The sequence below is a fragment of the Homo sapiens genome, chromosome 16, assembly GCF_000001405.40.
Source record: "Homo sapiens chromosome 16, GRCh38.p14 Primary Assembly".
Classification (NCBI taxonomy): Eukaryota; Metazoa; Chordata; class Mammalia; order Primates; family Hominidae; genus Homo; species Homo sapiens.
In genome coordinates this window covers 69,682,061-69,709,105 of record NC_000016.10, presented here as the reverse complement: position 1 = coordinate 69,709,105, position 27,045 = coordinate 69,682,061, and the positions used below count along the sequence as shown (strand labels likewise).

At 39.4% G+C, this 27,045-nt stretch overlaps 1 protein-coding gene and 1 non-coding gene across 19 annotated transcripts in view, besides 1 other annotated feature; one reads left to right on the top strand and one right to left on the bottom strand.

Annotated features, from left to right (window-relative positions):
• SNORD13H (small nucleolar RNA, C/D box 13H) lies at positions 431-534 on the top strand. Its single transcript, NR_145753.1, has one exon. It is a non-coding gene; the product is annotated as a small nucleolar RNA, C/D box 13H (small nucleolar RNA).
• The window catches only part of NFAT5 (nuclear factor of activated T cells 5), a 138,689-nt gene continuing 116,095 nt past the window's right edge, over positions 4,452-27,045 (bottom strand). For 11 of the 18 annotated variants that reach the window (NM_138714.4, NM_138713.4, NM_173214.3 and 8 more), the window contains 5 exons: positions 24,136-24,219; positions 18,018-18,166; positions 14,867-17,357; positions 13,727-13,970; positions 4,452-12,746 (listed from right to left, as the gene is read on the bottom strand). In NM_138714.4, the coding sequence (NP_619728.2) occupies positions 13,735-13,970; positions 14,867-17,357; positions 18,018-18,166; positions 24,136-24,219 (2,960 nt within the window). In that variant the 3' untranslated portion in view covers positions 4,452-12,746; positions 13,727-13,734. Of the gene's footprint in view, positions 12,747-13,402; positions 14,014-14,866; positions 17,358-18,017; positions 18,167-24,135; positions 24,220-27,045 lie in introns of those variants that run through there. The other 7 variants (NM_001113178.3, XM_011522817.4, NM_001367709.1 and 4 more) reach the window with 3 other exon arrangements.
• Positions 21,853-22,053: a silencer, noted in NCBI's record as "peak2631 fragment used in MPRA reporter construct". NCBI's record gives its function as "represses an SCP1 promoter by STARR-seq MPRAs in K562 erythroleukemia cells {active_cell/tissue: K562}" and the evidence as "EXISTENCE:reporter gene assay evidence [ECO:0000049][PMID:32103011]".

Sequence of the window (27,045 nt, the reverse complement as noted above, 5' to 3'; positions counted from 1 at the left end):
GTCTCTACTAAAAACTTAAAAAATTAGCTGGGCGTGGTGGTGCGGGCCTGTAATCCCAGCTACTCAGGAGGCTGAGGCAGGAGAATTGCTTGAACCCGGGAGGCGGAGGTTTCAGTGAGCCAAGATCGTGCCACTGCACTCCAGCCTGGGTGATAAGAGCGAGACTCTGTCTCCAAAAAAATAAGAGACATCTATTAAGACTGCCAGGTGAGGCTGACAAGTAGGCAGTTGGATAGGAGAAACCTGGAGTTAAGGCAGAAGTTATGGCTGGAGATGCACATTTGGGAATCTTCAACATATAGATGGTGTTTAAAGCAATGAGATTGGCTGGGATCAATCTCTTTGAGTTTTGAGAGAAGAGATTTGATGATTTACCTCTGGGGCTCGACAATGTTAGGAGATGAAGATGAGAGTGAAAAGCAGTGGTCAGATCCTTTTGTAGTTCCTAAGTGTGTTGATTGGGTGTTCACGTGCATGTGTGAGATGTGGCACCCTTGAATCTTGTTATGACATCAGTACATTTCCCGTCTGACATGAAAAAAAAAAACAAAACTGGTGTTCAGAGATGCAGGAGAGCTGAGTGTGGTGTCCCGAAAGCCAAGCGAAGAAAGTGTTTGAAGATGGCCGGGCGCAGTGGCTAACACCTGTAATCCCAGCATTTTGGGAGGCTGAAGAGGGTGGATCACCTGAGGTCAGGAGCTCGAGATCAGCCTGGCTAACATGGTGAAACCCTGTTTCTACTAAAAATACAAAAAATTAGCTGGGCATGGTGGTGCGTGCTTGTAATCCCAGCTACTAGAGAGGTTGAAGCAGGAGAATTGCTTGAACCCAAGAGGTGGAGGTTGCAGTGAGCTGAGATCACACCATTGCACTACAGCTTGGGCAACAAGAGTGAAACTCTGTCTTGAAGGAAAAAAAAAGTGTTTGAAGGAGGGAATGATCAGGTGTGTCAAATACTGCTGACAAGCCAAGCAAGACGAGGCCTGGGAAGTGACCACTGGACTTGGTCATGTGGAACCCATTTGTTGGTGACATTGACAAGCACCATTTCAGTAGAGTGGCGTGATGAAAGCCTGATTTGAATGGGTTTGAGAATGGAAGGAGAGGAATAGAAATAGTGTGGAGGAGGCTGTGTGATCAAAGAACAATTTTTTTTAAGAGATCAGGGACATTACAACAAATTTCTATGTCAATGGAAATGACTCAGAGAAAGGAAAAGTTTTGATGCTGATGACAAAGGGACATCTTTGAAAAAGCCAAAATGCTATATTTGTATATTTATCCCCTCCAAAACTCAAGTTGAAATTTCATCCCCACTGTGGCAGAATTGAGAGGTGGGGACTTTTAAGAGGTGACTGAGGGCCAGCATGGTGGCTCACACCTGTAATCCTACCTAGCACTTTGGGAGGTAAGGCAGACAGATCACTGGAGCCCTGGACTTCAAGACCCAGCCTGGGCAACATGGTGAAACTCTATCTCTACAAAAAATGCAAAACTTAGCCAGGTGTAGTGGGGGGTATACCTGTAGTCCCAGCTACTCGGGGTAGGGACTGAGATGGGAGGATTGCTTAAGCCCAGAAGAGGCTGCAGTGAGCTGTGATTGTGCCACTGCACTCCAACCTGGGTGACGGAGTGAAACCATCTCAAAAAAAAAAAAAAAAAAATCATGAGGGAGGGCTCTGTCCTCATGAATAGATTAACCCACTACTCATGAATTAATGAGTTATCATAAGCGGGCAACTGGTGGCTTTAAAATAGGGAGACCTGAGTCCTTTGCATGCTCAGCCAGTTGCCTAATTATGATAACTCATTAATCCATGAGTAGTGGGTTAATCTATTCATGAGGACAGAGCCCTCCCTCATGATTTTTTTTTTTTTTTTTTTTTTTTTTGAGACAGTTTCACTCCGTCACCCAGGTTGGAGTGCATGCTCAGCCCCCTTGCCGTGATAGCTTGCAACACCTTGGGATTCTTGGGAGTCCTCACCAGCAAGAAGGCTCTCACCAGACACAGCCCCTCCACCTGGACTTCTCAGCCTCCATGGCTGTAAGAAATTCTTTTTCTTTATACATTGCCCAGCTTCAGGTATTCTGTTAAAATCAAGAGAAAACAGACTAATACATAGAAGGATGTGAGAAGTAGTGCACAAGAGCTAGAAGAGCAGAGTAGTATCAGGACTAGTAATACTAATACAAGGTAACACTTAGGAGGCACTTACTGTGCCAGGAACTAGGTAATTTTACATGGACTAACTTGCTTAACTCGTTCAACAACTCTGCAAGGAAGGTTCTGTTATTGTTTTCACTTTATAGCAAAGGAAATTGAGGAATGGAGGTTATATTATAGGCAAACTCAAGAGCCTATGCTTTTAAACACTATGTTATATTGCCTCAGTAGAATAGAAGCAGAGATGGCACCATGAAATAGAGCATGAGAGTAGCAACCAATATCTCTTTTTCTGAGAATAAGACCATTAGTGTTGCTGTTGAGAAGGTATAGCTATTTTTTGATTTCTAGAGTCCCTACTGTGTTCTCAGCAGGGATAAATGATATTTTGGTTCTCTTCTAGGCTTAGATGGCTGCAGAGAATTTGTTTCTTGTAAGTTAATAGAGTAAGGCTCTTACCAGCTTAGAGTAGAGCAGGACAATTACCTCCCTTATTCTGGACACTGTACTTAAATTATGTAACTGAGATTGCATCATATTTTCTGGCAGCCCCATCCTATTGTAGTCCCATCTTCAGATCAGTATTTTGCCCACATAAGCTTTTTTTGAACCAAAATATATAATTTGATATACTTATTACATTTCATTTGGTTATTGCTCATTTTCAGTGCCATTGAAGTCAATAAACACCAAAAGACAACTTTTATTCTTTTTTTCCTTTTTTTTTTTTTTTAGACAGTGTCAGTATCTGTTATCCAGGCTGGAGTGCAGTGGCATGATGATAGCTCACTGCAGCCTCAAACTCCTGGACTTAAGTGATCCTCTCACCTTAGCCGCCTGAATAGCTGGGACTATGGGCGCATGCCAACATGCCTGGCTAATTATTTTATGTTTTGTAGATACGAAGTCTCACTTTGTTGCCCAGGCTGGTCTTGAACTCCCGGGCTGGCTCAAGTGGTCCTCCTGCCTCGACCTCCCAAAGTGTTGGGATTACAGGCATGAGCCACCATGCTTGGCAAGGCATACTGTATTTAGAACAGAAGGATTGTTTAAAAAATAATAATAAATTTTATATATATGTATATATATATATAAAATCTCCTAACAACTCATTTAGATATATATATATAGATTTGGATGTATTAAGAATTGTTACTCCTTTACAGAATCAACAGATACTGTCTATATTTGATAGGAAGGTATAAGTATGCTGTCTAAAGCAATGTCTTTTACGATTCAATTAGATACCATATTCATGACACCCATGTATCTGTATTAGCATTTTTTTAAAAAATATTTTTCTTCCTTTTTCCTTTCATTTAAACATCAAAAAAAAAAAAATAGAGACAGGGTCTTGCTATGTTGCTCAGGCTGGTCTCCAACTCCTGGCCTCAAGTGATCCTCCTGTCTTAGCCTCCCGAGTAGCTGGGATTACAGAGGCATGAGCCACTGAGCCCAGTGATTTAATATTTTTCTTTAATTTGACTCACTTTTTCCCTCACTCTGGTAGGTAGACACATTATTATTTTTTTATTTTTTAGACAGAGTCTCGCCCCGTTGCCCAGGCTGGAGTGCAATGGTGCGATCTCTGCTCACTGCAACCTCCGTCTCCCGGGTTCAAACGATTCTCCTGCCTCTGTCTGCCAAGTAGCTGGGATTACAGGTGCCCGCCACTATGCCCAGCTATTTTTTGTATTTTTAGTAGAGATGGGGTTTCACTATGTTGGCCAGGCTGGTCTCGAACTCCTGACCTCAGGTGATCTGCCTGCCTCAGCCTCCCAAAGTGCTGGGATTACAGGCGTGAGCCGCTGAGCCCAGCCTATATTTTTTTCTATTACGCATCAAAACACTTATACATGTAAGTTTAAAAATAGTGTTTATCCACGTACCACGGGTAGTTGTGTACCACACTCTGATATGCGCTAATTTAGAGATGTAGAAATAACACCAAAAGAATAAACAGAGATTGTCTCTGGGCATGGGACTAAGGGATGGGGAGACTTGGTTTTCATCAAAAGCACCTCCGTGTATATGTATTGCTTTACTAAACATGAAACATTTAAATTATACGTAAAACAAAAATTCTGTCACACTGAGTCACTTATACTCTACCTGGCAAAATGGTAGGCACAAAATAACTACTCAGAAATATGTCTATATTTCACACCTCCTCCCTAATGATTTTATAATTTCAGCCATATACTCATGCTGCTCAAAACTGTCGTTCATGCACACAATTCCATTCACAAAGTTTGAGGAAAAAAAAGACAGCTATCCACTGCAAAATGAAAACTTTCAGTGTTTTATTTTTGACTGCAGCTGTTTACAGAAATATAGTTGCGAGTATACAAATGTTCCAATAGAAGCAAAATATCTTTTTAATATTTAACAAGTTATCACAGATAGCTAAAAACATAGATGCAAATGAAATTCCCCCAGAGAACAAACTGAAAATATCTGGTATCAGTGCTCTGAAATCCCAACTATGAAAGCCATATACACAAAAATGTAACCCTTATATCATTGCAGGACAATGGAAGAAGGCAGTTCAGTGGTTGATCAGTGTGCTCAAGCAAATAAAATTAAATAAAAATTAAAAATGGCAGAATGGTAGCTAAACCACTTGAGAACAGGTTAATGAAATTATTGGTACTATACTTAAAACATTAAGTAAAAGAAGTGAATGAAACTCATTTAAAGTTGTCAAAAAATTAGCAACTACTTGGAGCTTATCAATTAAAAGGAAACAAGGTAAGCAGACACATTCATTAGATCAAAAGAAATTAGATCAAGTTCACTGGAATCAGTCTGTAACTACTCAAGTCACAATGACTTCAGTGCAGGAGTTTTTTACTGGACACAGAAGTCTGATTCCAAGCCCACTCTTCAACAGCTGAGATTTTGTGTGCGTGTATGTATGTGTGTGTGTGTAGACGTTGTCCTGAGGTTCATCAGCTAAAATAATATAATAAGCAATCCCTACAAAATATTTCAAACCAGGCAAATGACTTCTGGAAGAGAGAGAAAGGAAGGGGAGAGGGAGGGAGAATATGAGTAAGCAAGCAGGGTCATATGGTTAAACATGGAATTTTTTAAAGGAGTTATTACAAGTGGGAGTCAAATAGAACTGTGGTAGAATGCTTTGGGTACAGGAATATGTTATGCAATAAAGTGAGGAAGAGAAAAAGGGAATAAGAAGGGAGGAATGTAACTAGAGCAGCTCCCAACAGTTTGCCTATGTATTTGCCAGCACCAAAATTTGTAGAGTAAGCCACTTACATTTCCACTGCTAGTATTAAGGAAAGACAGCAGTGGTGATTTTTATAAAGTGAGTATACATTTATTTTTATTCTGATATGTGAATTTTTCTTTCACGAGTTAATTAACTGGTAATTTGTAAACAGTGGGAAGAAGATTAGAACAATTATGGAGGTACTGAATTACACAAGGAGATTAAAATGAAATGAATCAATCTACCTATCTTGTGGTTAGTTTATATTTACCATGATGCATACACTTGAGAAACGAGAAATGCCCAAATTGTATAATGCATTATCTTGTTTATTATTTATTTTAGTAAATAATTCTTGTCTGAAACATAAGCTCCAAGGATAGCTATATCTATACTGATAGCTTAGTTCTTATACAAAGCAAGCTACTTTTGAAGAAGTTTTACCTATTAAAAAAATAAGTTAAGGTGCCATGTTGACCTGGCCAGCCATCTTGTTTACTATCTCAGATACAAATATAAATACAAGGAATGATGATTTTGTTCTGAGGGTTGGTCTAGCCAGGGCAAAACTGTGGTCTGCTGGTAAAGTACTAGGCAATGAAAAGAAAGCTTGTATTACACTGCCCATAATGTACCCATTTTATGGATAAACAGGAGACTTTAGCACCGGTCAATTATATTAGCTACTTAAATGTCATAACAATTAAAATAAACATAGAACATTGCACCTATATATTTAAATCAGTCATTTAATGTAAACCTTTTAGTAAGTGGTAGGAAAATGCCAAACTAAATTAACTGAATTATCAAGAATTAGACTAATTGTGTATGTACATAAAATACACTGTATCTCTATAGGCAGTACTGAGAATTAACTTTTGCCAATAAAAGATTATAGATAACCAGGTTAAGCTGAATTTACATGAAGAACAATGTATAACTATATCAGTCTGAGTGGAAGAAAAACTCTATATCTCAACAGAGTCTTAGCCCAGTGGTTCCTAAACTTTAAAGTGTGCATCAGAATCACCTGGAGGGCTTGTGAAAACAGATTGCGGGGGCCCTATTCCAGAGTTTCTGACTCAGTATGTCTGGGATGGGGCCAAAGAATTTACATTTCTAACTAGTTCCCAGGTGATACTGATACTAGCTGGTGGGCTGAGAACCATACTCTGAGAACCACTGGTTGCACATACTACATATGTAGAAAAAGATATATTGTAATGTTCTTATATACATGGCACAAAATATATAGACAACTGGTTTTAATGAATTCCCAAACATGTAGGTTAGCAAGCTGAATGTTTCTAAAATGTGACGTTTCTAAAATGATGTGCTAAAGCATAATTATTTCCCCTTATAAGTAAATTACATTTCAAAGTCTTAAGTCCTATATAGTCATTTTAGAAAAATCCATATAACATTTATACCAAGTTGGCTATCCAAAAGAAAAGGGACATAACATTCTAAATAGTTAAGATGAATTCATTAGGAAGGAATCATCACTATACAGCATTCTTGGCTTCTTTGGAATGATTAAAGTGCATAATATCAATAGGGTATTAAGAATATTGCATAAAAGTTTGCAGTCCTCAGTGCCACTAACAGTCACAGAAATACTAGCACGGGGAAAGCAGCCCTATCCCAAAGGTAGAACTATCCTGACCTGTTGCTGATGATCCTTTCTTTAAGCACCACCGCTGTGGTAAGGAGCTGGAATAGAGGCAAAATTAACAAAAACCAAGGCACTCCATCTGACTGTATCTGATCAAAAGGAATTATCTTAGGTCTGGAGGGAGTCAGATATAACCTTTTTCTCATTTCCTTTGACACTTTTTGTCTAGGTAAATTAACTGAGGATAGACAAGAAGTACACTAACATAAACAACTTTGCCCTGTCTAGTTAAAAAAAAGTGGCATAATCAGGCTTTACCTAAACTATGTTTTAGTGATTTATTTCCATCTAATTAACATCAGAGAAAATGCTTTCAACACTTTCTTCCTGAAATTTACACACATCTGGTGCATGGAGTTTCACAGATGCTAAAATTCTCATGAGTATTCAGATAAGACCTACCATTAGCTGGTTGAGATGAAGACAAATTTAGTTTATATAAAGGCTGAACAGTCTAATTCTGTAATCTTTTACCCTCTCCCAAAGAAACAATTCTAGCAATGTACCTTTTCTTTTATTCTTAAGCCAAAGGGAAGAAATGGAGAAAAGAAGGTTTAAATGGAAAAAGTAAAAGCTGGGACCTACTGAAACTATTTGTTTATGTGTTTTTGGAAATAGTGAAAAATGAAATTATAAATGATAAAAAGGCACTTTTCCATAGCATTAGATCTAGATATAAAATATTAATTTAAAAAATTTCCTGAAAGAGAAAGTAAAAACATAATTTTATTAATAAATGAGGCTAGAATGGCATAAAAATAAATGGGGATTAAAGAAGTAATTAGGCCGGATGTGGTGGCTCATGCCTGTAATCCTAGCACTTTGGGACGCCGAGGCAGGTGGATCACTGGAGGTTAGGAGTTCGAAACCAGCCTGGCCAACATGGCAAAACCCCATCTCTACTAAAAAAATACAAAAAAAATTAGCCGGGCCTAGTGGAGGGTGCCTGTAATCCTGGCTACTTGGGAGGCTGAGGCAGGAGAATCGCTTGAACCTGGGAGGTGGAGGCTGCAGTGAGCTGAGATCGCACACTGCTCTAGCCTGAGAGACAGAGCAAGACTCCATCTCAAAAAAAAAAAAAGAAGTAAAGTAACTAGAGCACTGGGACCTGGGACCATCCACAAATGATATTGTAGATATTATTCTGATATTTACTGCATTATGAGCATTATCTCTACAATTTTGCTCTAGTGACACAAACAAGCAGAGAAGAAAACCTCTTTTTAATACATGTTATGAGATTCTACTAACCCACTTACTAGGGTATATACTATGAGTTATTTTTCTAACCTATGGTCTTTCTTCATGGAGTCCCTCCACACAGTCTAAGGCATGCAGATATAAGACAGCTGTCTCGGTTAGGGATAAAACCTGTGGTCATAAAGCAGAGGAAAGCTAATTAATTTAAAAAATCTATTAGGAAACAGATATTGGAACAGAAATCTTCATCAGAAAAATGAAAAATTGTAAGATTACTATTTCTGGTGAAAATGTATAACCATGGTGATTTGAGACTTTAATTATTAAATCGTTTTGTCCTGGTCATTATTTGTTGATGCATCTAACAGATTCACTTTCCTAAAACAAGCATTTATAAAGGCTTAAATGGTCAAAACGCATTTATAAAGGCTTAAATGGTCAAAAAGAATTATCTTAGTTCTGGAGGGACTCAGATACAACTTTCTCATTTCCTTTGATACTATTTTTCCTAGGTAGATTAGCTGAGGTTCTGATGAGCAAGAAATGCACTAGAATAAAATTCCAAACTACAGCACATGTGATATTACAAAAAATAAAAATAAAAGGCAAGGAAGGATGAATGGAAGAAAGGAAGGAAGGGAGAAAGGAGGGAGGGAGGAATAAGGGAAGGAGAAACAAAGAAGGCAGGGAGGAGGGGGAGATGGAAGGGAAGAAGGGAGGCAGGGAGGGGAGGAAAGGGAGGGAGGAAGGAAAGTCCTTCATTAATACTTCTTCTATAATAAAGCCCTTAAAAACTTGTTCTTTTTTTAAACTATTTGTTTTAAAACAGATTTGCATTGGCTAAATAACATGATACTTTAATCATAAAGGTAACATGATCAAGCTTAGAGGCAAAATATGACTTTGAATTATCGTCACCCATGTTGGTGTGGATATATAATGGAATGACAATAAGGAAACACACACACACACACACACACATACACACACACACACAGAGAGAGAGAGAGAGAGAGAGAAAGAGATAAGCTCCAAGCATTAATGTGAGTTGCTGAAAGCAAGAACACTTAAATGTAACAATATAAAGAAGAAAAGGTGGCTCACAGTTTATTTAGGTCCTTCTGCCATAAATACATTTAATAAATTGTTGTTTCTATGGCCTTTGCTGGCTCACTGAGTCTCTCCCATATGTAGCTATAACTTGTAACAGTAATCAGGAAATTGCATTATTAGCACAAATATCAACCACTGAGCTTCAAAGAAGATGAATACTCTTCGTAGCCAAATTGTATTTTCAGAATGTTGTACTTAACATTGACCTTTAGGGGTAAGGAACATTTAACAATGTAAAAAAAACAACAAACCTATTATTATTGAACAAGAATATGGTAGCATAGCACAGCCCTTGTATAAATAACCACAAAATTTATGAGAATAAAAATCGGGTTTTCTGTCTCCATCCGATCAAACCACTACAGTTCAGGTATATATTCTGTTCTAAACTTAGATATTATAAAACAGAAAATTGGTCCCAGTGACTTGGCATTGCCAATTAGCATTTGATAACAATAAACCTCTTGCTAAACCACAGAAGTCAGCACACAAGCCAGTCGCCACTTCATCCACAGTGCAGTATTAACAATCATCCTAATTAGAACTTGAACAGATAGATTTCTTTAGTCTCCTATGTAATCTCTTAGAAAAAAGTTCAGAAAATTCAAAAATAACTTACAGATTTGTATTTATACTACTTTTTATACCTGCTGGGTTTGCTTTGTCTGAAATTTCAACCAACCCTACTTTAGGGTTAGAATTTTACATTTTCAAACTGAAGCACTGGATTGTGTGGCTGATCCTCCTCATAACCTGAACTATACTGGGTAATTTTTCCCAATAGGGGCTGGGGGAGAAGAGATACACTGAGGAAAATACTTTTGGTTCAGAGAATTTATAAAGTAGCTCTGGATATTACAAGATGGGAAAAATGTTATTAAAATTACAAACATGGGTTTTCTTAGTGTCTTTATAAATAAAAGGCATAGAATACAGAAAGCCAATTAATAATAACAATAACAACAATAATAAAATATTAAATATATAGTGAGCAAAGACTGAATGGCTCATTCTTGTGAAACACCATTTGACGCCATTGCCTCAATGGGTTTCCTGACTCTAACACTTGGCTGAGTGAAAGCTCCAGCAAACACACAGTAAGCTGCCTTTAGCCCACTACTGACATCAAGGAACTAACTGCCTGATGGAATGGCCACAGATGAACAGGTCATTTGTTTCAAAAGATACTTAAATACTCAATAAAGACATAACAAACCCCACCCCCCCTCACTGTTATCAGACGCCACGTTGTGGTAGAACATCAGACAAACTCACAAATTTACCACAAAAATGTGTGGCAAAAAAGAATAGTTTATATATATGTATATATATAAATTTCTATATTTATGCCAATGTACTCACTCAGTACAAATAGCAAAATAGTATACCATTTCCTAAATACAAAATATAGCTTTCCAAAAAAATGAAACACACATTAGATATAAACCATCCAAAACTTGAACGATTGAAAACTGTATTCAAAATTAAATGACCCAGAGTAGGTCTCTTTCTGAAAAGTTCCCTTCATATCGGCAAGAAGCCTGTACTACTGAAAACGTAATTCAATGCCTCTCAATCAGAGAGAGAAAGAAAGAAAGGGGTGGAGGTGGAGGGAAGAAAACATGAGAAAAAAGAGAAAAAGACAAAAGAGCACATTCAAAGAACAAAGGAAGATCATCACAAAACAAAAAGAAGGAAAAATCTGGCTGTGTAAACAAAACCAACACCACAATTCCGCACAGTTCAACTAAATGTACAGGATAGAAAAAAAAAAAAAAAAAGAACAGAAAAGTAGCCTTCAACAATTAACAGGTTATTTTTTGTACACTTAAAAAATAAATGAAACGGACAAGGATACCAAAACATTATCTCAACACATAGAAGCCACACACACGTTGGCCTTACACTGCATTGACAGCTTTCCACATGCCAAAAGGAAAATGAGACATAAGCATGTGTCCAGACACAGGTGGTAGTGAGAAGCAGGCATCCCACGGGTGGCAAGAACACCCAAAACTGTATAACTAATGCTACAACTGCCAAGTTCTGGAGTGTGTTATTTTGCTCTTTATAGATGTAACACAAGTTAATTCTTCATTTTAAGTCAATGATACAACCCTGTAAAGCCTAAGGCTTGTGGGAACCATCAGGTAAGTGACCACTTCAAACTGTAAAGCACTGAGGTGACAAGTGAATTTATACTCACTGCAGATCAGGGAGAAGTGATATTTCAAGAAATTTTAGTTTGCCTTTTTTTTTTAATTAAAATTTATACTGTTTCCTATTAGAGGGAAAAATTTGAAGACTTCAGAACAGCACCGTTCATGGGGAAAAATGTGTTGTTTCTCAGGAATCAACTCCTAATAATTCCTAAGACAGTACTCTCTGCCCTGTGCTGCAGGATTGCTAGGTCACCCTAGATTAAAGTGGCCAAAGATGCTACAGGGTCATGAAGCCAGTAGTATATTAATAGTTCTCTAAAGTAAAGTGAAAAAGAGGTGAAAAGTAATATAGATATATATAAAAAGGGAATACCAGCCTAAGACTGGGTTAAGAAGAAAACATTCAAATTTTTCTGTCAATTTAAACTACTGTAGGAGGATATCAGAACATAATTTATCATATATTATCCCCTTCATTTTTTACAGATAATTATTTTTCTATGCACAGTTATGGCTAAACCCCTTAGTAGAAACCCAGAGAACTAACAACTCTCTGAAAAAATAAAATCAAGAAGCATTCCAGCTGTTCCCAGTTTTATAAGTGTATCATCTGCCTTTGTGTTAAATCAAGAGTACTTTTATCTGCACATACAGTTTACTTGTTAGAATGTTACCCTTCAGTTTCTCCAATAAAACTGAAAAAAGATTCCTTCACTTTGGCCAACAGCTGTGCCTTTTATATTGAAAAAAATCACAGCCTTAGTTATTATTGAACTTTACTTTTTCAAAAGCCATTACTTGACTAAAACAATGCAGGAAAGAAAATAATGAAGAACAAAAGTAAACATGATATATTATTTTCTAATAGCAATAATAACTGAGTGGTCCAGCCTTGAATTTAAACTGTACGTTTAAGGAAATTGCGCCTAGGAAAATAATAACAATTAATTCTGCCAGCTGGAAACTCAAATAGATTCTCAGTCATCACTGTTATTAGGAATATAAAATATGAAGATGTTAACATTGGTGGTTAGTTACTGCAACAAGCAGCATAGGTGTGCTCTTTTGCAGTCAGAGTAAAATCTATCAGTTTACTCAAACACAGTTTTTTATATTTTGTTTTGTTTTTAAAGTAATAATTCTCATGGAACCACAAGATCTCAGGACATCTTGGAATCAGGATTTTCTTCGTGGAATTTCTAAAAAAGAGAAAAAGTTTAATTTAACTTACTAGGGAGGGAAGCATTTATAAAGTTTCTGACACCCTGAATGATCCTAAAGTATATTATGGTACTGTAAGTAAAACTTTATCATATTTGATCTTCCACAGACTTTTCTGACTCAATATTTATTTCTGGAGGAAGGGATAAGTGAGGCATGGTTATATCCAATATATAGTACAAAGGAAACACATTTTGCATACTCATCAGATGTTTTGTTATTCCAAGGCAAAGAAGCTCAGAGGCAGAAGGAATGTCCAATATAGGTTGAGTATCCCTTATCTAAAATGTTTGGGATCAGAAGTGTTTCTGATTTCTTTTTTGGATTTTGGAATATGCACATATACACAATGAGATATCTTGGGGATAAGACACAAGTCCAAACATGAAATTCACTTCTGTTTCACATACACCTAAAAAAATCTATCACAGCTGAAGGGAGCTGGAAGGATCTTTTTTACCCTTGGGGACACCAAATAAACTGCATGTTGTGAGCCTGACTTTTGACTATGACCCTATCATATGAGGTTAGGTGTGGAATTTTCCACTTGAGATGTCATGTCAGCACTCAAAAAGATTCGGATTTCAGAGCATTTTGGATTTTGGATTTTTGGACTAGGGATGTTTGGTCTGTATTTTTTTTTTTTTTTGTATTTTTTAGTAGAGACGGGGTTTCACCATGTTAGCCAGGATGGTCTCGATCGCCTGACCTCGTGATCCGCCCACCTTGGTCTCTCAAAGTGCTGGGATTACAGGCATGAGCCACCACGCCCGGCCTGGTCTGTATTAACTATATGACCATAAGCTATCATTCAGAATAATTTTATTCAGAGTAAAAAAGTATCATCTTGTGAGAAAGCCACATTTTAAAAGATTAGAACTACTATTACTTAACCTAAATCTGTTAAGAAGAATAAAATCTGATGCTTTTCAATAAGAAGCCAAAATGCAATACTTACATATCCAGTTAAAAGGAGCCAGTCAAGTTGTTCCCTTGGTTTTGCAATGAAACAAGCAAATCAATCTTTTCGATGTTCTGGTTGGTGTTTATAGAGGATGCCAGTGGAGAATTCTCTGGCATTTGCTGAGAAAGAAGTGTTGTCACAGGTGGCTGGCCCTCGTTTTGTGGTTGGCCTGGCTGACTTATGGCCATCAACTGATCAGGCAATGTAGCTGGTCCAGAGGTTAAAAGCTGACTACAGTCTGCAGAGACATTGAAAACAGAAGCTTAAAAGCTGACTACAGTCTGCAGAAACATTAAAAATAGAAGCTATCTGATTAGTAAAGATTCATGAAAAGATATTTATTAGTTGTTGGGGAAAATTCATTACTGCATTCTCCTTGTATATTACTAAAAGTTAGGCACCTGATAGTCCAAGAAAAAGGTTTTCACAGACTGGCACTGGAATTCATCTTAGGTTTCCTTTAAGCAGTCTAAAAATACAACTTTGCTTAAATATCAAAAGTCCTATATAAATTCCTTGGTATATAAACATTAAAGATGAGTTTCTACCTCCTTAGAAACTACTTACTTCAACTGGGTAAGGTATTATCTGTCATTCTGACTTCATTTTCCTTTTAAGTTTATAGCTTAAAATGGCAAACACACATTTTTATACATTGCCATATTTAATCCTCCCCAAATCCATGTAAAGTATGTAATATTATCACCATTTTAAATGAGAGAATTGAGACCCATAAAAGCCAAATAACTTGTACAAGATCTTATAGTCTATAGGTGATAGAGTTCTAACTACAATCTGTACTCTTAAAACAACTATACAGGACAGGTGTGGTGGCTCACGCCTGTAATCCCAGCACTTTGGGAGGCCGAGGCCAGCGGATCACTTGAGGTCAAAAATTCAACACCAGCCTGGCCAACATGGTGAAACCCCGCCTCTAACAAAAATACAAAAATTAGCTGGGCGTGGTTGTGCACACCTGTAATCCCAGCTGCTTGGGAGGCTGAGGCAGGAGAATCACCTGAACCTGGGAGGCAGAGGGTGCAGGTGCAGTGAGCTGAGATCGCACCACTGCACTCTGCTTCCTTCTAATAATAATAATGACCAATTAAGTAATGAAAAATTAGAGTTTCTTACTATTTTGAATGCCAAATAAGAACATTCCTGATGTCTGCTGAGATGAGCCAGGAGAATTCTGCAGTTGGTTCATTGTGCCTCCTGCTGTGTTGTGAAATAAAGTAGCCTGTGGTTGAGGCGAAGATGTGGCTCCTTGAATTCCAGGCATGTTGTTCTGAGGGGAATAAAGAGGAGACTGTTGCATATCTTGTTGATTTATACTGGTCTGCAAGGCAGACATGGATGCTGGAGATAAGAAGAGAGTTACTTGCTGCTCTTGAGAACTAGGTGACCCTTGTACCAACTGAATCTGAGGAGAGCTATGGAACAAGGGGGTCTGTGATGATTCCGACTGGGTAGGACCTGGGTTCTGAAGTGAGGAAACTGTGGACTGACTCTGAAATTGCATGGGCTGTTGCTCTTGATTCATTGGGGCCATGTTACTTTGTTGGTGAAAAATTGACTGGTTCTGTTGCTCCTGATTAGCCATTGGATTTTGATTTGGGTTGAATATCATGTTTGGTGGTGGTTGCTTTGGAGACGCCATTGTAGCCATGGTATTCTGATTACTGAATAAAATGCTCTGTTGTTGTTGCTGCTGCTGTTGCTGCTGCTGTTGCTGCTGCTGCTGCTGTTCCTGGGATGGAGAGTTACTCTGCATGGCAACTATTGAGTGCTGTGACTGGAACATGGTTCCTTGTTGGCTTTGAGGCATTGGATTAGGTGGAAGGGAGCCCAGGGCCACCTGAGGCTGAAATAAACCCTGCTGCGGGGGTTGTGCCTGTTCTTGGGAAAGCATAGGAGTCTGGATGTGTGATATTGGAGCTTGCTGTTGGAAAGCAGCTTGTTGTTCACTGTTTGATGTTGACTGAAGTGGAGAAATTGAGTTCGGTGCTGCAAAAAATGCTTCTTGGGCTACTGTGTTAGTCTGAAGATTATTCATGGGACTCTGGGAAAGAAATATGTTGGTTGACTGCTGGTCTTGAGGAACTGAAGAGCCCTGTAACACAGCAATGGTACTTTGAGAGTGAAACATTGGAGGCTGCATTTGTTCAGAGGAGGTTGTAGAAGTCTGACTGTGGACAATAGGATTTGGACTATGAAAGAGAGAACCTTGAGTTTCCTGGGAAAGGTTCTGAGCATCGGCAATAGGATTTTGAGGATGAAAAAGTTGGGCCTGTGAATGAGAAGACTGCTGCAAAAAATTTCCAGATTGAAGTGACATCATCTCATTCCCTTGCTGGAATAAACCATTACCTTGTTGTTGGGTACCACTATTCTGAACACTCATCATACTTTTTGTGGATGAAAAAAGGTTAACTTGAGGTTGATTGTCCCCACTATGTTGCATTTGGACCATGGTCTGAAAGACACTGTTCTGAATCTGTTTTGCTTGTGTTCCAGTTTCTTCTCCATCTCCTGAACTTGATGTCTGAAACATGGTAGTGCCAGGGGTTGCAACCTGCTGTGTGGTAGTTGTAGAAGTTTCATTTCCAGAAACTGCAGGAGGAGAAGAAAACAATTCACACTGCATTTGCATATCCTCATTGGTAGACAATGCACTCATCATGTGAGAAGTCTGCTGGTAAACTGGCGATTGCTGAAGGTTTCCATTTGCTGAAGCAGTTGAAGGGAATAACTCTGACTGAATCTGGGCAGCTGCCTGGCAGATACTCTGTTGCATCTCCATCACCATTGCGGCTGAAGATTCCATCACTTGCTGTTGCTGCTGCTGCTGCTGCTGTTGATTAGATAACGTGTTTTCAGACTGTGGATGAACACTTTCAGCTCTTCCAGGTAATAAATTATCTGGTCTGGTATGGACTGTTGGCTCTGTTGAGGAAAACATTCCAGGGCTTACACCACTCTGAATTTGACTGACTTGTTGAAAAATATCTGCACTAAGCTGCTCTTGAACATTCTCATTACCATCTGGAGCAGAAAATAAAACTGAAGATAACTGCTGCTGTGCCTCTAAAACTTGTTGGACCAAGTCAACACTTCCACTGCTGCCACTAGCAGTACTGCCTGTGAAACTCCCTGCTTGCAGCTGCTGAATAGTATTCTGAAGCTGACTCACACTATTTGGTGATGGAAAAATATTTGATGAAATCTGCTGCTGTAAAGTCTGTGCTTGTTCTTGTAGTGGTGACTGCTGCTGTTGTTGTGATGCCTCAGTCAGTTGTGACAAATTAACCACTGTACCATCTGACTGTAATATCTCTCTAGACTGAGTTTCTCTTGTCTGAAACTGTGTAGCCTGCTGCAATAGTGCATCGCTGTTGGGCAGCTGACTAGAAGCAGAAACTGCTGGAAAAGTACCAGGCTGTGAGATGTCCTGGGTTTGAATAGTTGTCAGGGTCTCTGGGTTGTATGCCTTGGGCTGAATCTGCTGCTGTTTTTCATTTTCAGAAGGTAGGTGGGAAGATGATGGTGATGAAAAAGAGCCATTTCCTGCTATGTTTGAGATGTTTTCTAATGTTTGCTGAGTTGATCCAACAGACTTTGTAGTCTAAAAAATAAAAATCCCCAAATATTATGAATATATAAACATTAAACAAGTTTGTAACATACATCAAAAATCACTATTGCTCTAAAAATATATGCAGGACCAGCTTTCCACTCTATATTATTATCATTTAGAAAACAGGTACAGGACTACAATTCTCCATAACATGATGTCTCATTTTCCTTGAGATATATTTTTTAAAAGTACGACAAGCAAAGATAGTCAAACAAGGAAGTAGAATAATCGGCTATTGATATGCTTAGGTGAATTAAGGGTAATCAGAACACAGTAATTTTATGGTTCATGAAGAGCAGGTATCAAAATATCTCAATTTTGTGGCTCCTCAGTAACATTACAGGGGATAAGACAAGTAAAAAAAAGAAACAGAAAGTTATGGGAAAAGACTGGGAAAAAAATAAAAACATCTCTAATTCTGAAAATGCTAAAATTAGTACTTTCATCAATATCTCATACAACATATTAATTCCTCCCTTGTATATTGGAAGTCACTATGTGGGCAATTTTGCTGAAGTATAAAGCATTCCCTCTTTACAGCAAAATTCATTAAGTGCATCCAAAGTAAAAATAATGTTAAAAAAATAGGAAAAGTAAAAGACAGCAATTTTTATATAGGAGGTTTGTGCACTAGTCAATACAGCTTACCTTAAAAATAGTGGAAGATCTTTTTTCTGCTGTTACTTCCATTGGAGTAACATCTTCACTCTTAATCATACTGCTTGGTATGAGTGGAGTCATCAGGGCATTAGGGATAATATTTACCTTATCTAAATTACATCCAGTAGTTTTCATTGCTGCATATACACACACACAAAAAGAAAAGTTTAAAATCACAAAATTTACCAACTATTTCATTCTAAAATTTGTTATTAGCCATGATTTAAATGTCTATTTTTTTGATGCTACAATGGTAGCATGAGATACAAACCTGGTATATTAAGATATATCTTCCCTTTTATGAAGTGCATTGGCTGGGGGACCTCTGGAATGGGCCTGGAACTATAGCTTAAATATTAATAATAAGCTTAAGCAGTTCAATTACCAAGCTATATTCCCCAAGACGGTTCCAAGTGCCTTGAATCATACTACCCAACCTGACCAAGAGTATATTATAGGATACAGCTTAAAAATCTCCAGGAGGATAAAGCTACTCAATTACAAACTACACTCTCCTCTTAGCATTTAGCTATCTGACAATATAGTCTCAGAACTTCTTAAGGACTATGAGATTGTCAGAGCACTTCTTTCTTAAACTAAGTTCAAGCTTCTCATTAGAAAATACCACCCAGTGATTAATAAATTTTGCTTTTCTAAATTAAAAGAAAACTAAATTAATTAGAAAACTTGAATATGACAAGTTGACACATGGACACAATTCTCTTTTAGACTGGACTTTAAACATCTTTTTTTTTTTCCCCAGAAATAAGGGCTATTTTAGGTTTACAAACCAAATTTCCCAAGCAAAATGAAAAATTATTTCCCACCTCCTACTACCTCCATTTTCAGGAGTAGTTAGTTCTAGATTTATACCTAGAGGCAACATATAGCAAGATTCTACCACTTCACTATATCTACCTTTCCCCCTTGATTGCTTTTCTTTCTTCTTTTTTGTCTACTTGAGTCCGCAGTGGCACTCAGTGGTACCTACTGCTATTGCTAATGACAGTCTTCTGAGTTGAGCACATAGCCAAATCCTGATTTAAAAGTTTACTACCACTTGGAAGCTCTATGGAAACAGTCTTCAGAAAGCATAGCTGTTAAATTTCTTAATTTGATATCGAGAAGAAATCTTGGCTATAAAGAAGCTTTTAAAATGGCACATGGTCTATAAGTTGGATCGCTCCCTTCATAAATTTTTGTTGTTGTTGTCAGTCAATATGCTGCTGAAAGGCCAAGTGTGGTGGCTCATGCCTGCAATCCCAGCACTTTGGGAGGCCGAGGCAGGTGGCTCACTTGAGGCCAGCAGTTCGAGACCAGCCTGGCCAACATGGTGAAACTCTGTCTCTACTAAAAATACAAAAATTAGCAGGGCATGGTGGCACATGCCTGTAAATCCCAGCTACTTGGGAGGCTGAGGCACAAGAATTGCTTGAATCCAGGAGGAGGTGGTTGCAATGAGCTGAGATCGCTCTACTGTACTGCAGGCTGGGCAACGGAGCAAGACTGTCTCAAAATCTGCTGAAAGTAAATATTTTCATCTAAAAATATTTGCAATTTTCTTGTCTTACTTCAACTTGCCTCACAGCCATTTGGCTAAAAACCTAATTCCTATGAAAACTGATTATTTTGACAGAGGGGAAAGTGCTCATTTAACTTTTGACATTCCATGTTTTATTATTCTACCTAAGTAGTTTGAGAAATGAATCATTTATTCATGAGTTCTTTGGACCTATTTTCACCTAAATTCTAATACCAATACAATTCCCCTAACAACCAGATTTTTATTTTATTTTATCTTATTTGAGACAGGGTCTCTCTCTGTTGGTGGGAGTGCAGTGGTACAATCAGGCCTCACTGCAACCTCCACCTCCTGGGCTCAGGCAATCCTCCCACCTCAGCCCCATAAGTAGCTGGGACTACAGGCACACACCACCATGCCTGACTAATTTTTAAAATTTTTTTGTAGAGACAAGAGTCTCGTTACTTTGCCTAGGCTGGTCTTGAACTCCTGAGCTCAAGTGATCCTCCCTACTAGGCTGCCCAAAGTGCTGGGATTATAGGCGTGAGCCACCACACTCGGCCTACAACCTAATTTTGACTGAGACAAAACTTCAGATCATGCACAGGGCAGGCATTTAAAAGTAATCTAAGAATATCCCATAGAACATTTTGAAAAACCATTAGTGTTATCTTAAGTTGATCCTGTAATAGTCAACTACTATTCTTGCTTTTGAATTCCATTAGATCATGAGCTCTGTGAAGGCAGATGTTGTTATCACCTGTTGCACAGTAGGTAATCAACAAATGTTTGCTGAATGAATGAAGAAAATAATCTTACTTTAGCTTTATCACTGTCAATTTAGTTTGTTGTGGATTGTTTGGTTAATCCTATAAAAATAAAAATATGGGCCAGGCGCATTGGCTCATGCCTGTAATCCCAGCAATTTGGGAGGCAGAGGTGGGTGGACCACGAGGTCAGGAGTTCGCCAGCCTGACCAACATGGTGAAACCCCGTCTCTACTAAAAATACAAAAAAAGTAAAAATAAAAAAAAGCCAGGTGTGGTAGAGGGCACCTGTTACCTCAGCCTCTGGAACCCAGGAGGCAGAGGTCAGAGGTTGCAGTAAGCCGAGACCACGCCACTGCATTCCAGCCTGGGCAACAAAGCAAGACTCCATCTCAAATAATAATAATAATAAATAAAAATAAAAATATACAGTCTGTATTTTTCTTTTTAAAAATATTCATTCATTCATTCATTCATTTACTCACTCATTCATTCAATTAGAGACAGGGTCTCACTCTGTTACCCAGGCTGGAGTGAGTACCTGCAGCCTCAAACTCCTGGTTTTTTTTTTTTTTTTTTTTTTTTGAGACGGAGTCTCGCTCTGTCGCCCAGGCGGGACTGCGGACTGCAGTGGCGCAATCTCGGCTCACTGCAAGCTCCGCTTCCCGGGTTCACGCCATTCTCCTGCCTCAGCCTCCCGAGTAGCTGGGACTACAGGCGCCCGCCACCGCGCCCGGCTAATTTTTTTTGTATTTTTAGTAGAGACGGGGTTTCACCTTGTTAGCCAGGATGGTCTCGATCTCCTGACCTCATGATCCACCCGCCTCGGCCTCCCAAAGTGCTGGGATTACAGGCGTGAGCCACCGCGCCCGGCCAAACTCCTGGGTTTAAGTGATCCTCCCACCTCAGTCTCCTGAGTAGTTGGGATTATAGGCACTAGCCACTGTACCTGGCTTATATTTTTATTAATAGTATTTTTGATCTAAAAATGTCCATGTTTACAGATAAGATTATATTATAATTCAATTAGAAATTACATATAAATAAATATATCACCTATACACTTACTGCTTAACAGATCTACAATTTTTCTTAAAATGTATTTAGATAGTAATGCTTATTATCTTCTCCCCCTTTCTGGAAAGTGAGACTAGGTAGAGAAAGTTGAGCAAGAGTCTTTTACCTATCCTCAGTTGACCACTGACAAGTATGTCTACTGGTAAAGACAAACAGTAAAAGGACATTTAGTCTAATGCTCATGCAAAGACACAAGTCCTTCTACGGCCATATGCACAAAGGTCACAAAGGTTAATTTTATTTATGTTCCAATCCTTTTTTTTTTTTTTTTTTTCAGAGTCTTGCTCTATTGCCCAAGCTGGAGTGCAGTGGCTCAATCTGGGCTCACTACAACCTTCGCCTCCTGGATTCAAGCGATTCTCCTGTCTCAGCCTCCCAACTAGCTAGGATTACAAGCACACACCACCACGCCCAGCTAATTTTTTTATTTTTAGTAGAGACAGGGTTTTGCCATGTTGGCCAGGTAGGTCTCAAACTCCTGACCTCAGGTGATCCACTGGCTTGGCCTCCCAAAGTGCTGGGATTACAGGTGTGAGTCACCACATCTGGCCTTGTTCCAATTTTATTTAAGTCTAGTCCCACCAAAAACAGTCCAAAATGTCTCCAGGCCAGACATTAAGTTTGTCAGATATGTTCCATCTTGTTAATTCAATAATAATCTTCTAGTCAACTTCAATTTAGTAGTACATTATAAATGAAAATATCAGATTAATCTTTTTCTCCTCCTAAGAATTAATTTGCTCTAAGAACATCAAGCTGGTGTCAATGCATTACAATCCAACACTTGCATTTTTTCTCAAGTAATCTCTACCAAACAATTTCTCATATGTGATTTATATATATTTTTTGAGGTGGAGTTTTACTGTGTCGCCCAGGCTGAAGTGCAGTGGCATGATCTCGGCTCACTGCAATCCCCGCCTCCCGGGTTCAAGCAATTCTTCTGCCCAATCTCCCAAGCAGCTGGGATTACAGGCACGCACCACCATGCCCAGCTAAATTTTGTATTTTTAGTAGAGATGAGGTTTCACCATGTTGGCCAGGCTGGTCTCAAACTCCTGACCTCAGGTGATCCAATCACCTCAGCCCCACAAAGTGCTGGAATTATAGGTGTGAGCCACCGTGCCCAGCCTGATTTAAATTTTTTATCAAAAAAGTATATAAACCAACCAAATTTCTGCTTTGTTTTGTTTTTGAGAACCTTGTTCCTTTGCCCATGCTGGAGTGCAGTGGTACGATCACAGCTCAATGCACCTTCGACCTCTTCAGATCAAGCAATCCTCCTACCTCAGTCTCATGAATAGCTAGGATGATAAGTGCATGCCACCATGCCCGGTTAATGTTTTTAATTTTTTTTTTTTGAGACCGAGTCCCGCTCTGTTGCCCAGGCTGGAGAGCAGTGGCACAATCTTGGCTCACTGTAGCCTCCACCTCCCAGGTTCAAGTGATTCTCTTGCCTCAGCCTCCAGAGTAGCTGGGATTACAGGCACACATCACCATGCCAGGCTAATTTTTTTTTGTATTTTTAGTAGAGATGGGGTTTCGCTATGTTGACCAGGCTGGTCTCCAACTCCTGACCTCCGATGATCTGCCAAGCTCAGCCTCCCAAAGTGTTGATATTAAAGGCATGAGCCACCGCGCCTGGCCTATTTTTCTTTCTTTCTTTTTTGGAGATAGTTTTGCTCTTGTTGCCCAGACTGGAGTGCGGTGGCACGATCTCGGCTCACCGCAACCTCTGCTTCCTGAGTTCAAGCGATTCTTCTGCCTCAGCTTCCCAAGTAGCTGGGATTACAGGCATGCACCACCATGCCTGGCTAATTTTGTATTTTTAGTAGAGAATGGGTTTCTCCATGTTGGTCACTCTGGTCTTAAATGCCTGACCTCAGGTTATCTGCCCACCTTGGCCTCCTAAAGTGCTGGGATTACAGGCGTGAGCCACTGCGCCTGGCCTGTTTTAATTTTTTTGTAGAGACAAGAAATCTTCTCACTGTGCTGCCCATATCTGTTCAGCAATAACTATAGATGATGCATTTAATTATTAGCCAATGGATATTTATCATCTCAAATTTCTGGACTCAAGTAATCTTCCTACCTTGGCCTCTGAAAGTGCTGGGACTATAGGTGTGACCCACCGTGCCTGGCCTTATTTCACTTTTTTTTTTTTTTTAAGACAGGGTCTCGCTCTGTCGCCCAGGCTGGAGTACAGTGGCATGACCTTGGCTCACTGCAACCCCTGCCTCCCAGATTAAAGAGATTCTCCTGACTCAGCCTCCCGAGCAGCTGGGACTACGGGCACCTGCCACCACCCCTGGCTAATTTTTGTATTTTCAGTAGAGACAGGGTTTCACCATGTTGGCCAGGCAGGTCTTGAAGTCCTGACCTCAAATGATCTACCTGACTCGGCCTCCCAAAGTGCTGGCATTACAGGCATGAACCACTGTGCCCAGCCTCATATACTTTTAATATTGGGTAATTAAAAAAAAAAACAAAACTCCTCCACTCCAATATACTTAAAAAAAAAAATATATATATATATATATATAAAAACATATTCAGCAAGAAAAATATCAAATTGGAAAACAAGTCTCTACATTTAGTAAAGTTAAACACATATTTATTTTACAATATGAAGATACCCTGCAAAGTATTATAAGTACCTAAGAGAAAACAAAATAGTAAGGTGTGCTAGAGAAAACATACAGGAGCACCCAATTACGATTTTTGAGAAGAATTTACTTGGTACCTTTCATGGCCTCTTCAAAAGAGCAAGGTCTTGCTGGACTAGATATTTCCTTCTTCACATTTACATTCAAAGCACCAGCTGCTGCTATTAAAAAAAAGATTAATGTATTTATCTACATTTACTCATCCTAAAAACCTCGTATCTTAAATTCTTTAATTAGAATATCTTGTCACAAAGTATCATTTAATTATTTATTTAGCAGAAATTCTAGTTGAGGTAAATTTCTATCCTCTAAATTCTCCAATCTCCAAGTGGGCGGAGCATGTGATCACTTAGCAAAACAATACCAGGCCATGTGTAGTGGCTCACGTCTGTAATCCCAGCACTTTGGGAAGCCAAGGCGGGTGATCACTTGAGGTCAGGAGTTCAAGACCACCCTGACCAACATGGTGAAACCCCATCTTTTTTTTTGCGACAGAGTCTCGCTCTGTTGCCCAGGCTGGAGTGCAGTGGCGTGATCTCGGCTCACTGCAACCTCCACCTCCTGGGTTCAAGCAATTCTCTGCCTCAGCCTCCCGAGTAGCTGGGATTACAGGCGCCTGCCACCACTCCCAGCTAATTTTTTTGTATTTTTAGTAGAGACAAGGTTTCACCATCTTGGCCAGGCTGGTCTTGAACTCCTGACCTCGTGATTCACCCGCCTCGGCCTCCCAAATTGCTGGGATTACAGGTGTGAGCCACCGTGCCCAGCCAATTTTTTTTTTTTTTTTTTTTTGAGGCAGTCTCGCTAGGTCGCCCAGGAGGAGTGCAGTGGTATGATCCTGGCTCACTGCAACCTCCACCTCCCAGGTTCAAGTGATTCTCCTGCCTCAGCCTCTTGAGTAGCTGGGATTTCAGGTGCACGCCACCATGCCAGGCTATTTATTTATTTGAGACGGAGTTTCGCTCTTGTTACCCAGGCTGGAGTGCAATGGCGCAGTCTTGACTCACTGCAACCTCCACCTCCCGGGTTTAAGGGATTCTCGTGCCTCAGCCTCCCAAGTAGCTGGGACTACAGGCGCACACCATCATACCTGGGTAATTTTTGTATTTTCAGTACAGATGGGGTTTCACCATGTTGGCCAGGCTGGTCTCAAACTCCTGACCTCAGGTAATCTGCCCACCTTGGCTTCCCAAAGTGCTGGGATTATAGGCGTGAGCCACCGCACTGGCTGCCAGGCTAATTTTTGTATTTTTAGTAGAGATGGGGTTTCACCGTGCTGGCCAAGCTGGGTCTCAAACTTTTGACTTTAAGTGATCTGCCCGCCTTGGCCTCCCAAAGTGCTGGGATTACAGGCTTGAGTGCCCAGCCTACTGTAACAAATTTAAACTATAAATTTAATGGGCCTAAATATAAATCAGTTCTAAAAAATAAAGTTTAATAAATTACAAATAAATTCGTTCTTGCTTCAAATGATTATATATTTTATTTGAATATACATATATATTTTCTTCCTTTGAGACAGGGTCTGGGGCTCTGTCACCCAGGCTGAAGTGCAGTGGCGTGATAACGGCTCACTGCAACTTCCACCTCCCAAGCTCAAGCCATCACCCACCTCAGCCTCCTGAGTAGCTGGAACTACAGGCACACGCCACCACGCCAGTCTAATTTTTATATTTTTGGTAGAAATGGTGTTTCGCCATGTTGCCCAGGTTGGTCTCAAACTGCTGAGCACAAGCAATCTGCCCACCTCAGACACCCTAACTGCTGGGATTACAGGCATGAACCACCGTGCTTGGCCTTAATTTCTACTTTTCTTTTTTCTTCTTTTTTTCTTTTGAGACGGAGTTTCGCTCTTGTTGCCCAGGCTGGAGTGCAGTGGCGCGATCTCAGCTCACTGCAACCTCCGCCTCCTGGGTTCAAGCGATTCTCCTGCCTTAGCCTCCCCAGTAGCTGGGATTACAGGCATGCCCCACCGCACCCTGTTAATTTTGTATTTTTAGTAGAGATGGGGTTTCTCCATGTTGGTCAGGCTGGTCTCTAACTTCTGACCTCAGGTGATCTGCCCACCTCGGTCTCCCAAAGTGCTGGGATTCTATGCGTGAGCCACCACGCCCAGCCAATTTCTATTTTTCAATATATTTATTTTATATTTTCTAACATGTCAAATGATAGTTATAACAAAAATAAAGAGGGAAATCTGTACACATCTCCTGAGAATGAAGTTAAATAATTTATCTTAGTATGCTTCACAGTAGGTCCAACAAATGATTTATAGGCAACTGAATGGAAAAAAAACACACATATTTATGCATGACATTAATTCTAGTAATAAAAGATTTAAAAATATAAGCTAATCCTTGAAAAAAATTTAAATTTCTACTTATAAATCATGTTATGAGTTATTTTTAAATTCTTCTTATTATTTTTTTGAGACAGGGTCTTGCTCTGTTGTCCAGGCTGGAGTACATTGGCATGATCACGGCTTACTGGAGCCTCAATCTCTCAGGCTCAAGCGATCTCTCACCTCAGCCTCCCAAGTAGCTGGGACTACAGGTGCATGCCACCAAGCTCAGCTTAGTATTATTTTTTCTTTGTAGGGATGGCGGGGGGGGGGGTCTCACTATATCGCCCAGGCTGGTCTCAAACTCCTGGGCTCAAGTGATCCTCTTGCCTTGGCCTCCTGAAGTGTCAGGACCACATATGTGAGCCACCTCACCCAGCCAGTAATTTCTTTTTTAGAAAAAAAAAAAAAATGTTAAATATTACATTCCCATTTCTTATAGAAATCACCACTGTGGAGTTACAGCAAATAATGTGTGATTTTTGTGTCTGAATAGGCTGAAGTAAAAAAAAAAAAAAAATTAAAATGTTTTAATGGCTAAGCAAAGCTTCAGAGACTATCAATAATACAAAGGTTTTATGACTCTGAAAAGTATCTAAGTGCCTGAGAGAATACACATTTTGATTTGGGGCAGTATGGCCCCATG